The sequence below is a fragment of the Homo sapiens genome, chromosome 15 (assembly GCF_000001405.40).
Source record: "Homo sapiens chromosome 15, GRCh38.p14 Primary Assembly".
NCBI lineage: Eukaryota > Metazoa > Chordata > Mammalia > Primates > Hominidae > Homo > Homo sapiens.
Window position 1 is genome coordinate 42,808,810 of NC_000015.10, and position 15,463 is coordinate 42,824,272.

General features: G+C 37.2%; 1 protein-coding gene across 10 annotated transcripts in view; it reads right to left on the reverse strand.

The window, feature by feature from the left end:
• The window catches only part of TTBK2 (tau tubulin kinase 2), a 182,271-nt gene that overhangs the window by 70,080 nt on the left and 96,728 nt on the right, over positions 1–15,463 (reverse strand). For 9 of the 10 annotated variants that reach the window (XM_006720402.5, XM_047432189.1, XM_005254173.6 and 6 more), the window contains 3 exons: positions 8,223–8,288; positions 2,879–2,971; positions 1,805–1,930 (listed from right to left, as the gene is read on the reverse strand). In XM_006720402.5, coding sequence (XP_006720465.1) covers positions 1,805–1,930; positions 2,879–2,971; positions 8,223–8,288 — 285 coding nt within the window. The other variant, XM_047432192.1, reaches the window with a different exon arrangement.

The following is a 15,463-nucleotide window of genomic DNA, read 5'->3' on the forward strand; positions in this document are numbered from 1 at the left end:
AACTGCACTCTAGCCTTGCTGACAGACCGAGACCCCGTCTCAAAAAATTTTTTTAAATGAAGAAAATAAAATCTTGAAAGAACAGTAAGTAAAATCAAATTCAGGAATGAATCTCAAACTGTAAAATTAATCACAGGGACAGCATGAATTCACGAGACCATTCAGATTAAAAGTAGAGTTATTTTTCTCAAGATGAAGACTGAGTAGAGAAACAAGAGGCAGAAGCTGCAAAGCTCAGGCTTTTGAAACCTGATGTCACATTGATACTAGTCATTAGAACACACCCATCACTTACATAACATCTTTTTTCAATTATCCTTCTCCTGTCCACCTGCCCTCTGTTCTCACTCACTGCTTAGGAAAGATCACAGCAGGAAAGAGCTGGATTATTTACAGAATCTGTGAAACAAAGTAATGTTATGCCTGTTCTCTTTCTTTCAAAAATGGAAAATTACCAAACTTTGTTTTGTTATTAAGTGATAGAAAAGCCCTTAGGAGAATGTCCAACTGAAAAACTTGAGAACAATAATTTGTTAGTTTAAAATAATCATTAAGTTTCAAACTTCAGCTGGTAAATATGATAGTCTTCTTTAGATATAGGTTTAAGAAGAGAATGTGATCAAAGTTTTTTACTGTCCTAAATTCCCCTAAGCAAATTTTGTCAATAAGAAACTATTAGCACTCAAGATGGGAAAGTTGGAACAATTTTCAGCTCCTCTTGAATCTAGTCTTACAGGTATAATTTCATTGCTTTAAGTAATGTGAACTGTATACATTTCAGAAAATACATACAAAAGACAAATATAAGAACACATTCCAAAACAACTCACACACAGTGTATTTTCTCAATTTGTTAGACAGTCCCTATTGCTTACAACACAAATTGGCATATGCATGAGAAGACAAACTCACCAATTTAAGGTCTCTAAGGACTCAAGGCTGTATGTTGCCTCTTTGCTTTATATCCTGTTTGTATCTTATACAAAAGCAGCAATTTCACAGAGCAATAATTACTATATGCAAATACATTTACTGTGCTATAGATACTTCTTAGTCTTTTGACTGCACAACACTGACAACACTGTAGAATTTAACTACCATTAACATGCAGTAAAGTCTATGTATTGTCCTTTGTAAATAAGGATGATATACTAATACATATTCTTATTAATCTATGTGTGGCCGCATTTATGTTTTCAGTGGTAGCAATTATTAGGTATTAAGCCCTGACCAAATTCTCCCTGAGAGCAACAGAATCTTCTGAAATACCGCTGGTTGGGGTTAGGGATGTAATTTGTAGTAAACCTAGTCAACCCTTCTAAGGCTCATTAACTGATGCTCTAAGGAAATGATTCTCTGACCACAGGCAAAATGGAGCCAATTTTCACTGACCGCTGTCCCATAGCATATTAACATATGATATGCTGCCCTAAAGCCCTTGACAGATGCATTACCTAGTTGGACATTTCCTTCTGGTCAACAAATTAGCTATAGAATTTACATAATTTCAACTGTCAGCAGTTCTATACGCCGAATGAATCATGCAGGAATAGGAAAATCTGTTGCAAGATGAATAAACCTAAAACTCGAATGAAGTTAAGTCCATCCAGAGGGATGAAACACATAACACACACGCTGACACTCTCATCATAAGTTAATTTCACCATGTTTCTCAGGATGTATTAAAACAGTCGTATTCTAAGGACCTCCCCTACTCATTTATAACACCTTCAAAGCTACAATGAGTGAAAGCATAGACTAAGAGAGAAAATAACTAACCCACAGAACTCACAAAGATGGTTACCTGGTAGTCTGGTTTTGTAAAATAATCCAAAGAAGAGATATGGTCTAGAAAGATGCTGAATTCTGGAGGGAGATGTTTCAACATGAGCCTGTGGTCATATCTCTCCTTAATAGAGCCTACTTGCTCCTGGGAAGTAAAGAGAAAAAGAGCTACAGTCAATTTCTCTTGGTGGTTAGGCATTAAGAGCCCCTCAGTAACCGTCTCAAGGGTATGTACTAGGGAATGAGATAGTGGGTAATTAAGCATAAAGCAAGAACTGAGCTCTTACTAACAGCTTAATGTACAGTGTTTTAAAGCGGAAAAAAACTATAATGCAGAACGAAACAAGTAGCACAGAGTTCTGCATCAGTGTATCGATAGTCCCCAGAAAAAATAATTTATTTATTTAGTTTTCTGAGACAGGGTCTTGCTCTGTCACCCAGGCTGAAGTGCAATGGCATGATCACAACTCACTGCAGCCTCGACCTTTGAGACTCAAGTGATCCTCCTGCCTCAGCTTCCCAAATAGCTGGGACTATAGGCACTTGCCACCATGCCCAGCTAATTTTTAAAAAATTTTTGTAAAGATTGGGGTCTCACTATGTTATCCAGCCTGGTCTCGAATTTTTGGGCTCAAGTGATCCTCTTGCCTCAGCCTCCCAAGGTGCTAGGATCATAGATGTGAGCCATTGCACCCATCTCAAAATAATTTATCTTAAATCTGATCTACTTTTCTTTATCAACACATGTGTTTACAGTTTTCTAAATCAAACAATATAATATGACAATCAAAAACTAAAAGCTTACTTGACTTACAAAAACAAAGGGGAGAACTAATAAAATTAAAAGCTAAGAGGGAGGGCTATAAATTAATCAGAAGCAATTAGTATCTATTCTCCATGTACACAGAAAAATCTCATAACATTAATTTGATCTCTAATGTCAGCTCACACAGAAAAATACATATATTGGGACATAGTGAAAATGCTTGTAGATTTTAAGTCTTATACATAAGTATATTTTCAACAAAAATGTTTATTCAGCAGAAATTTTTATTTCTTCTACCACAATTGACATCTCCATTCCCAAAATTACCTTGTCCTTTATTTTTCTCCAGGGCAGCTGACCAACCACAAACTCCACCAACATGTAGAATAAGGACCAAAGGTCATCATGTCTTCCCATTTCCTTCATAAACAAAACAGAATCCAGTCACATAACATTATTACTTGTGAGTACATTACATTGTTCAAGGTCTAACCATTTTGTTTCACCTTATTAGGCTAAAAATGTAAATTTATTTCCCAAAAAATTATATGATAAACATATATATATATATAAATTTACATAGCTATACAGCAATCTATATGGCAGAATATACAAATTGAAAAACTTTTTGAAACAAAGGACACTCCAAAACATAGAAATGGTGGAAGTAATATAACAGCCCATTAGTTAATGTGTTCATTTAGAAGAAAGAGAACTCTTAAAAGCTATTTTTTAAAAGGTAGAAATAAGGGAAGCAAGCTGATGCTGAAGTTTTGGCTGCTGTGGGGGCATCTGTCATGAGTTTATCAACCAGGAAGGGGACAGGCATAAAGGCCTTGGGCCTACATAGGACATGAGTTGTAACTGAGATACACCCCACCCCCACCATATAGCTAGGGCCCTAAAAGGGTTACATCCGTAGTGCAGTATTTGGTGTGTACATTATACTGTAATTGTTTTCTGTAAAACTTAATTGCTATCAAAAGAAAAAAATGAGTTTTAAAAAAATTGTCCTGGGAATTTGTTACCACAGGTCTGTCCCTCATTTAGATTTGGGGGTTAAATATATACCCATGTGGTCTGAAAAACCAAGCCTAGAAATTAACTTGAAATTAACTTCTGGGTGATCATGCCCTGCAGGAATGACAGAAGCAAATTTATCCTCTCAGGATAAATACATCCCTAAATTCAGACCTCATAGAAGTGCTATAGAAAAAGCCTCACCAAACATATGTTCATTATTCAAATTTATAAAGTATATTAATAAGCTAATGTCAAAAGAAGCTACAAAGAGTAGAAAAAAGTATCCCAGGATTTCAGAAATAGAATTATAGGATACGAAGAGTGTTTAAAATGTTAAAATGAAAAATGGAATCAGTCATCAGAAAAGAACCATATTTAATAAAAACAAACCAAAACCCAACCAGATTTGGAAAATGATTAAAAAGAACATCTAGAAATAAAAAGCGCAATTATAGAAATTAAAAACTCAATGGGCAGGCTTAAAAGCTGACCAAACACAGCAGAAAAAAATCAATTGGAAAACAGATATGAAGAAATTATCTAGAATGCAGCACAGAGACACAAAGAATTAGAGAATCCAGTAGTGAACTTAAGAGGCAGCACAAAGGACAGAATAAGAAAATCTAAGAAAGTCTAATGTATCAATTTGGTGATCTGGGAAAAAGAGTATAAAGAGAAAGGGAAAAAGGGAATATAAGAATCTTCCAGAATCAAGGAAAGACATGAACATTTTGGTTAGGAAACACATCAAATCCCAAACAGATAAATATTTAAAAACCCACACCTAGGCACATTTGAATGCAGGACTCCAAAGACAGAGAAGATACCAAAAGTATTCAAATAAAAAGGACAAATTGGCTAGGCACGGTTGCTCATGCCTGTAATCCCAGCACTTTGGGAGGCCAAGACAGGTGAATTGCTTGAGCTCAGGAGTTCAAGACTAGCCTGGGCAACATGGCAAAGCACCGTCTCTACAAAAAATACAAAAATTAGCCAAGTGTGGTGGTGAATGCCTGTGGTCCCAGCTATGCAGGAGGCTGAGGTGGGAGGGCTGCTTGAGCCCAGGAGGTTGAGACTGCAGTGAGCCGAGACCATACCAGTATACTCCAGCCTGGGCAACAGAGCAAGACTCTCCCAAAAAATAAAAAATAAAATAAAACTTTAAAAAGGACAAATTAAGGCCGAGCGCAGTGGCTCACACCTGTAATCCTAGCACTTTGGAAGGCTGAAGCTGGTGGATTGCCTGAGCTCAGGAGTTCGAGACCAGCCTAGGCAACACAGTGAAACCCCGTCTCTATTAAAAAATAAAAAAATTAGCTGGGCGTGGCAGCATATGCCTGTAATCCCAGCTACTCGGGAGGCTGAGGCAGGAGAATTGCTAGAACCCAGGAGGCGGAGGTTGCAGTTAGCCAAGATCACACCATTGCAGTCCAGCCTGGGCGAAGGAGGGCGAGAGAGCAGGACTCCATCTCTTAAAAAAAAAAAAGTAACAACAATTAAATAAAGTAACAAAGATGTTCTCAACAGTGACCCAAGAAGCAGAAGAAAGTAATTTTTTCAAAGTATTGAGATAAATATTAACAAGATTAAAATGTAAAACAACAATAAGACAGTATGACAGAGTTCAAGTGTTTTTTTGTTCTGTTTGTTTTTTGAGACAGAGTCTCGTTGTCGTCAGCCCGGGCTGGAGTGCGATGGGGCACTATCGGCTCACTGCAACCTCCGCCTCCCAGGTTCCAGCAATTCTCCTGCCTCAGCCTCCCGAGTAGCTGAGATTACAGGCGCCCGCCACCACACCCAGCTAATTTTTATATTTTTAGTAGAGACGGGGTTTTACCATGTTGGCCAGGCTCAAGTGTTTTTAAAAGTCCTTGTATTATTTAAGAATTATTTATGTTAAAACTTTAAGATTTGGCAAGGCATGGTGGCTCATGCATGTAATCCCAGCACTTTCGGGGGCCAAGGCTAGAAGACTGCTTGAGGCCAGGAGTTTGAGACCAGCTTGGGCAACATAGCAAGACTGTTAATATGAAAAATTAAAAAATTAGCCAGGTACAGTGGTGTGCACCTGTGGTCCTAGCTACTGAGAAGGCTGAAGTGAGAAGATTGCTTGAGCCCAGGAGTTCAAGGTTATAGTAAGCTATGATCCTGCCACTACACTCCAGCCTGGGCAACAGAACAAGACCCTGTCTCTAAAAAGTAAAGTTTAAGGAACCAGAAAAAGAGAAATAGAGTGTATTATTTTTAGATATTATCAAATCAGGGTTTCAGAGTATGGAAAAAAGAAGCATGTTAGAATTAGCTGGGAAACCTTTTAAGTTTAGACAAGCAACTGTGGAAGTTCCAAGAGGTGCACTCCTGCATCACCTCACAAACTAACAATCGTTGTGAACTATGTTACTGAGTAAAAGCATTCTACCCCTCAGGTGTGCTGGGAGCAGAAAAGAGGGTTAAGAACCACTGTTATATACTATCAAATTCCTCTACAAGGTTAGATGAGTAACAAAGAAGCAAGTTATCAAAGTAACTGTTAGAGGACACTGTGCTGGAAAGGCTTTTAGAAGAAATTGCCACTGTCTAAATTAAAACAGTAAAAGTACATAATCTCTATTAGCTATTTTGAAAATGCTTATGTAGCTATTAGAATCCCTGAAAATACTTATGTTTATCTTAAAAATAATGTATTTTCACAGATTCCAATGTTGACATAATTCTTTAATAAAATTAACTGGAAAACCTAGTATTTCTAAACTTTTGTAAGAATCTATCAGGAAAAGAAGAGAGCTTCTTTTCAAGACAAAGTAAATAAGTAAATGACTAGATATCATGAAATAAAGCAACACTGAATCAAACCAAATGAGTTTAAATGCTTAGCAGAGTGCTACACACCGAGAAAAATAGCTTTACTATTTTCAATTTATAATCACGCCATAAGAAGCCAAATTAACTGCAGCATAGCATTTAAGACCACAGTATACTCTTCCTATCATATATTGGTCAAGTTCTCATTTTGGCTTATCAGAACAGGAACAAGGTAAAGAAAAGAATCAACAAGAAATACTTTTTTCCCTATTTTATCAAGGAATCACTTGCTCAGTTTCCCAACTCCATGCAAAAAAGTTAAAGGACTGATAATCCATAAAAATGCCCAGTTTTCCTACTCATAAAGTTCGGGATGAAGGGGAAAAAGTCAGCGCAGAACAAAGGGACCAAAGTAAGGGGGTGAGGGGAGATATTTTTAAAATTTAACCCAAGAGGAAAGGGATAATTTACTAAAACAAACATTTTAAAATTGTCTGCACTTGAAATCTTCATGAAAACAAAAGGTTTGGTGGGGAGAGGGATATCAGATTAGATACATATTACAGATAAAATGATGACTCCCACATTTCATTAGGTATTGATAGTATTATATTCCCAAATAATTTCTTGAAATAGTACACAGATGTTCAATCTCTTCCAAATTCTCTCTCTCTATATATATATATTTAAATATATATATATTTAAAAATATATATATATATTTAAAAATATATATATATTTAAAAATATATATATATATATTTAAAAAAAAAATATATATATATATATATATTTGAGACGGAGTCTTGCTCTGTCTCAAATTTGGAAGAGATGTTCAATCTCTTCCAAATTCTCCCTCTCTCTATATAAAAATATATATATATAAAAATAAATAAATAAATATATATATATATATATATATATATATATATATGTGTATATTTTTTTTGAGACAGAGTCTTGCTCTGTTGCCCAGGCTGGAGTGCAGTGGTGCGATCTCAGCTTACCACAACCTTCGCCTCCCAGGTTCGAGTGATTCTTTTGCCTCAGCCTCCTGAGTAGCTGGGACTACAGGTACATGCCACCATGCTCAGCTAATTTTTGTATTTTTAGTAGAGATGGGGTTTCACTATGCTGGTCAGGCTGGTCTCAAACTCCTGACCTTGTGATCTGCTCACCTCAGCCTCCCAAACTTCTATATTAAATTTGTTAATACTTATATCTAATTAAGGACACAGATTTCCCAAAGACATAAATATACTTAGCTATCGTCTTTTCTGGCAAATCCAATTTTATTTTCCAAGCAGCTGCACATATCTATTATCCACGATACACTATACCGTGCATTAGTATTACCAATTCCATTATCATTAGTGCCACACAAGAATGAATTAGGACGAACATTCCAAGCAACTTTGTAGCTATTAAAGGGATCCTCAACTCTCAAGCACTTTCCACATCTTTGTACTTTGTAAAGAAGTCAATCTCACCTTGGGAGGCTGAGGCAGGTGATCATGAGGCTAGGAGTTTGAGACCAGCCTGGCCAACATGGTGAAACACTTTCTCTACTAAAAATACAAAAAATTAGCTGGGCGTGGTGGCGGGCACCTGTAATTCCAGCTACTTGGGAGGCTGAGGCAGGAGAATCACTTGAACCCGGGAGGCAGAGGTTGCGGTGAGCCAAGATCGGGCCACTGCACTCCAGCCCGGGCGACAGTGCAAGACTCTGTCTCAACAAATATACATATATATATATATATAAAATAATAATAAAATAAAAAAGAAGTCAATCTGATTTAAGCTATTAGCATACTTATACAGATATGACTCTAGTTCAGATACCTACCCTGTTCCGATGTGCGTTGATTGATGCATAACGAACTGTCCCTCGAAAACCTGCCACAGCTCGAGGCTACAACGAAGCCATGCAAAGAATAATAAATGAGCTTCAAACAGCAATACATTCAGCACACTTGAACCATGAAGTAAATGGAAGAAACACGTCCTTTATTGTCACAATAAAACACTATTTAATTTCTAACTTTTAACTATGAAATTACAAGAAACTAGAGAGATTATCTCTAAATCACATCTTTAAAAAAAAAAACTGATAAAATTTTAATTTTCAGTCCAGTTTTTTCCTACCTACATTTTAAAATACAGAGGCATTTATGACATCTATACAATTCTCTATATTAGAAAACATTAAATGCTTTCATATACCCATAATCGTGGTAAGTATCATAGTATATACATTAATATTCAGGTTCTGATACAAATAAATATATTTAGATGGTGAGGAATCACTAAGTAAACCTGAGATACCAAGCTCTTCATATCTTGGCTATTTCATTCAAACTCAATTCAAAGGTGGTGGCAACTTGTACCCTACCTCCATATGCAATTCATGTATTAAAAATTCAAGTTATCGGATGCTTAGTATGTGCCACATACTAGAAATAACACCAACATGAAAAATACATGATCCTAGTCCTCAGAGAACTCAACTTAGAATAAAGTCCAAGCTTTTTACTTAGCCTACAAGACTTTTCATGATCTGGCATTTGTCTCCTTCCACAATGGATTTACCATGGTTTCTTTCATGACCAATTTTGGTTTTAGCTCAAAACAGTGCACACGATTCTCTCCAGCTGGAATGCCAGCTCCCTGAATCCCTCCAATGGCTAGCTCTTCTACTCCATTTTAAGGCTTCTGCTCACATGTCCCTCCTGAGAGAAACTTTCCTTAATCATCCTAATCTAAAATACTGCTCCCCCATCTGTGGTGCCACTCTATTCTTTTACTCTGCTTTCTTTCTTTCTTATAACACCTTTACTACCCCCAAATCAATTTTATTTATATTCTTATTCTGTTTATTGCCCATTTGTTTAGATTTTAATTTTTTTAAGAGATGAGGTCTCGCTCTGTAGCCCAGGCTATAGTGCAGTGGTGTAATCATAGTTCACAGCAGCCTCAAATTCCTGGGCTCAAGTGATCCTCCTGCCTCAGCCTCCCAAGTAGCTGGAACTACTGGAATGTGCCACTACATAGGGCTAATCTATTTTAATTTGTTTACTGCCTGTCTTCTTTTAGTCTATAGAATATAAACTCTGTGCGGGCGAGGTCTTTGTCTTGCTCATTTTACAAATATAGATATAGGCTCTGAGAAGTATATAACTTGTCTAAGGACACAAAAGTTAGTAAATAGTAAAACCAGGCATTAACTAAGGTCTTTCAACATTGTCTCCATTCGGCCAGGCGTGGTGGCTCACGCCTGTAATCCCAGCACTTTGGGAGGCTGAGGCGGGCAGATCACAAGGTCAGAAGATAGAGACCATCCTGGCTAACACGGTGAAACCCCATCTCTACTAAAAATACAAAAAAATTAGCCGGGTGTGGTGGCAGGTGCCTGTAGTCCCAGCTACTCGGGAGGCAGAGGCAGGAGAATGGCGTGAACCCGGGAGGCGGAGCTTAAAGTGAGCGGAGATCGCGCCACTGCACTCCAGCCGGGGCGACAGAACGAGACTCCGTCTCAAAAAACAAACAAACAAAAAATCTGAAATCCAAAACACTTCAAATAAGGGATATTCAACCTGTATTACTTTTGTTTGTTTGTTTTTGAAACGGAGTCTCGCTCTGTCAACCAGGCTGGAGTGCAGTGGTGCGATCTCGGCTTGCGGTGAGCCAAGATTGAGCCACTGCACTCCAGCCTGGGCGACAGAGCGAGACTCCGTCTCAAAAAAAAAAAACAAAAAACAAAACAAACAAACAAACATTGTCTCCATTCTACTGCTCCACAAGAATCAAGTCAGTACCCTGACGATTCGTGGGTGGCACTGTAGCTCAATATGACAACTGCCAAACTTGAAAATGATCATAGACACACTTTTCATTAGTATAATTTTTGGGTTTTTTTTTTCTTAAGTAACCTCAAATTTTTCTCAATTAACATGTATTACTTTTGTAGTCAGAAAAGATAGTAAACGTTATTTTAAAAATCCTGGCCGGGCGCAGTGGCTCATGCCTGTAACCCAGCACTTTGGGAGGCTGAGGCGGGCAGATCACAAGGTCAAGAGATCGACACCATCCTGACCAACATGGTGAAACCCCATCTCTACTAAAAATACAAAAATTAGCCAGGCAACAGAGTGAGACTCTGTCTCAAAAAAAAAAAAAAAGTCCTTACCAGAATAATTTGGTTGTATGTTATTGCACAGGATAAACAATCTATGTGTTCTTCCTCCACTTGCTCATTTTTATAATCTATGTTTAATCAAGTTAGCTATTTCATTTCTTCCTTCATTAAATACTCTCTTTCCCTTTACTTTTGTTTGGTTTTTAAGACAACTATTTTAAAATATTCTGTATTTAATGGCAAGTCTCAGTAATTAAAATTTCCTGCAATCTTTAAAAAAATCCCCATTATTTTCTTAGCTGTCATTCATTGACAATCATAGTCAGTGGATCTCAATATTTTCCTAAGACATCATGATTAACAGGAATACCTAATATTCTCCATTTGATTGATGGAACTAAGGTTGGAGAGTTCTCTTTTTAGAAGAAAATTGTCTAAGAGAATATATGAAAGTCTACTATGAATCTTTTTTGGTAAATAACGTTTCAGAGGTTGTACTTTTATTCATTACCTGACATGACCCTTCAGCTAACATAGAATTTTTTTGTGTTGTGTAATTTTGCCCAATTATTTTCATTCCAGTAACTGTCAGAATGAAAATCTCCAGACTTATTATCACATTCTGCAGCCTAGTCCACAGTTGATTGGGCATCTAGACTTCTCCCTGATGGATTCTAGCCAAGTCAAGCCCAGGAGACTCTTTCTACTTAAGAGTTTCCCCTGCCTGGCTCTGACCTTACTTCTGCCATAGAAAGACTGAAATAGAGAAAACAGAAATCAGCTGTTTAGAGAAATCTTGACATAAGTAGTCAAAGAAATAATACCAGTTTGCATATCTCATCTAATTCTAATAAGAAAAAGAAATAATGTCAGATCAAGGAAATTCAATGACCTTATTTAATGTAGTAAAGACAACTCAAACCCAACTGGAGAAAAACAGTCACATATGCAAATGATTCCAATTTAAAGCAGATTATAATGAATATCATTAGTGAAGCACAATGAAATATAAACACTCGGGACAGGTAAGGATTAGTTCCATGTAGTAGGAGAGAGGAAGGACAAGTCTTAGGAATAGGCAGCATTTTACTGGGTCTTGAAACAAATAATCTCTTGAAACTTCCTCAATTGATGGCACTTCAGCAATATTTATCAAAATTGTAAATGCATATATTCACTTTGTCTCACAATTTCACTTCTGGAAATCTATCTCACAGATATACTTGCATTTGTGCAAAAATAGTGGATGTACAAAGTCAGTCACTACCATCAGTGTTTGTGACAGCAAAAGATTTTGTGCAACCTAAATGTCTGCCAATAGGAGACACTGATTAAATAAATTATAGTATGCCCAAATAATGGAATACACTCTGAAGCTGCAAAAAAAAAAAGGGGTCGGGCCAGGCACAGTAGTTCATGGCTATAATTCCAGAATTTGGGGAGTGTAAGGCAGGAGGCTCACTTGAGGCCAGGAGTTCAAGACCAACCTGGGCAACATCATAGTGAGACCCCCGTCTCTAAAAAAAAAAGAATTAAAGAATTAGCTGGGCATGGTGGCACACACCTATAGCCCCAGCTACCAGCTACTTGGGAGGCTGAGATGGGAGAATCCCCCAGCTATTTAGGAGGATGTGGCAGGAGGACTGCTGAGCCATGGCTGTAGTGAGCTGAGATCGTGCCACTCCACTCCAGCTTGGGTAACAGAGTGAGACTTTGTCTAAAAGAAAAAAAAAAAGAATGAGGAAGTTCTATATACTAACATGGAAAGATCGTCTACATACACTGACAAGTGAAAAAAAGAAAGGTATAGAATGTATATCATGCTACCTTTTGAATCAAAAAGGGAAAATTAAGAATGTTCATTTGTATTTATTGTATGTGAATAAAGAAATTCTGGAAGAATATATTAAAGAAACTAATAACAGTACAGCTACCTAAAGGTGAATGTAGGGAGCAGGGGGAAGAATCAGAGACAGTATAGGAAATGAGTAGATTTGGAATAGGCAGAGGTGAAATGGAGATTTATTTCACTGTTAACTTTTTAATTTATTTTCAAGTCAGGTTTAATTTGCTTTACTTTTAATTATTGAGGTATCATTTACTTACAGTAAAATTCATACTTTATGTATACAGTTCTATGAGTTTTGACTGACATAAAGTCATATAACTACCATCACAACTAAGATATCAAATATTTCCATCACTCCAGTAAGTTTCCTTAATGCCCCTTTGAGTCAATCCCTCCCACCCCTAGTCTCTGACAACCAATGATTTCTGTCCCTTGTCAGCACTTAGCATTGTCTGGTTTTTGTTTTAACCATTCTAACTGGTAGGCAGTGGTATCTTGCCAGGGTTTTTGTTTTTTGTTTTTTTTTTGTTTTTTTTTTTGAGACAGAGTCTCACTCTGTCTCCAGGCTGGAGTGCGGTGGCGTGATCTTGGCTCACTGCAAGCTCCACCTCCCGGGTTCACCCCATTCTCCTGCCTCAGCCTCCCAAGTAGCTGGGACTACAGGGTGCCCGCCACCACACCCAGCTAATTTTTTGTATTTTTAGTAGAGACGGAGTTCCACCGTGTTAGCCAGGATGGTCTCAATCTTCTGATCTCGTGATCTGCCTGCCTTGGCCTCCCAAAGTGCTGGGATTACAGGTGTGAGCCACCATGCCCAGCCTCTTGCCAGGGTTTTAATTTGCATTTCCCTAATAACTAATGATATTGACCATCTCTTAACATGCTTATTTGCCATTTGTATCTCTTCTTTGATAAAATGTCTATTCAAATCTTTAGTCCATTTTTATTGTGTTGTTTTCTTTTTATTGAGTTGTATGAGTTGTTTACAGATCTTGGATATAAAACCTTTATCAGATGTGCGTTCTGCAAATATTTTTCCCCATCTGTGACTTGTCTTTTCATTTGCTTAACAATGTCTTTCAAAGAGTATAAGTGTTTAGTTTTGATATATTTTTAATTCTTTAATTTCTGCATCACATGAATATATTATCTATTTGAAATTTATATTTAAAAACATTTTGAAAGAAAAAGAAAGTAAAAAAGTGAAAGTATTTAACAATCTATGAGCATATTTTATTTGATACCTAGATATTCAAATGAAAACAAAAAAGAAAAAATAAACCGGGCCTTGAAGGGCTGACAGAATTACAACAGAAAAAATGAGATGCATTTTAAGTAAAAAGAACATAGTGAACAATGCAAAGAGGGAGGAAAGTACTGTTGGTGTTAGAGAAACAAATCTGATATGACTGCAGCAGACCATGAGAGAAAAAAAAACAGAAAAATAGGTTGAAGTCAGATTAAGGAAGGACTTAAATGTCAAATTAAGGTCTTCTTTAATTTGGCTTATAACAGTAGGTAATTGGAATTCATAAAATATTTTTAAGCTGGAAAGTAACAATTGAGAAAATGCTCTGGATGGATGTTGACTCTGGTGGAAGTATAACAGATAGCCTGAAAGGAGAAGACAGAGAGATGAGTGAGGAAACTATTTTAACAATTAAAACAAGAAACAACAAAATTAGTACAAGGACAGAAGCAGTGTGAATGTAAAGGAGGGAATGTATGTTAGAGATGGGATGAACTCCTAGGAGAATAAATCAAGAAAGAAGAGAATGACTCTAGGAATGAGCCCTGGCCTATTGCTAACAAAAGGGAAAGGATCAGGGGAAAAAATTCAAGGAGAACTATGTAATACAACTACTCCCAATGGAATTAAGAAAATATCTCAAATTCAGCTAAATTCTGAAATACTAACAGAGAAAAAAGACTTTAAACATTTTTCTTATGTAAGTTACTACAATCCTAGGCACTGGAAGTTTCAGGTGAATGGTTAGGAAGGGAGCAACGAGAAAACATGTCACTCCAAGAGCTTAGACACAAAGGGCCAGTGTGAGATGCCAGCTGAAGGGCTGAAACTGGGGAATGCCTTAAAAGCAGGATACATACAAAAAATGAACAGGCAGATTCAAATCATTAGGTAAACAGAAGTTCAACTATGAAATTATGAATCAAAGTGTTGCATATATATATATAGTTTAGGACTTCTTTGCCCCTCACAACCCTACTTAATGTAACTAATACATCTTAAAGGTGATAAAGAGTAGAGGCTGTCAAAACCAACTTCGTAAACACCACACTGGTATAACAGATACACTCCATCATTCCCTCTGTAATGCCTTCTGACTGATGGTCCTATACCACAAGATTGGTAAATAAATATACATTTATGTTTTGAGGAAGTTCTTTCGTGGTGATAGAATAGTTTTGTATCTGGATTATGGTGTTGATGTCTTAGTCCATTTGTACTGCTACAAAACAAGCTTGCCCAACATGTGGCCCAGGATGGCTTTGAACACAACACAACACAAATTCACAAACTTTCCTAAACATTATTTTTTTTGTGTGATTTTTTTTTTTTTTAGCTCATCAGCTATTGTTAGTATATTTTATGTGTGGCCCAAGACAATTCTTCTTCTTCCAATGTGGCCCAGGGAAGCCAAAAGATTGGGCATCCTTGCTATAAAGGAATACCTGAGGCTGAAAATTTATAAAGAAGAGGTCTGTTTGGTTCGCAGTTCTGCATGCAGGTTGTACAAGAAACATGGCACCAGCATCTGCTTCTGGTGAGGGCTTCAGGCTGCTTCCATTCATGGTAGAAGGCAAAGCAGAGGAGGCATGTGCAGAGGTCACATGGTGTGAAAGGAAGCAAGAAGGTGGGGGAAGGTGCCAGGCTCTTTTTAACAATCAGCTCTCATAAGAACTAACAGAGTGAGAACTCACGACCCCTCCGCTCCCAAGGGAGGGGAGTGATCTATTCATGCGTGATCCATCCCACGACCCAAACCCTGCCCATTAGGCCTCACTTCCAGCACTGGAATCAAATTTCAACATCAGATTTGGATGGGACAAATATTCAAACTATAGCAGTTGGTTATATGAA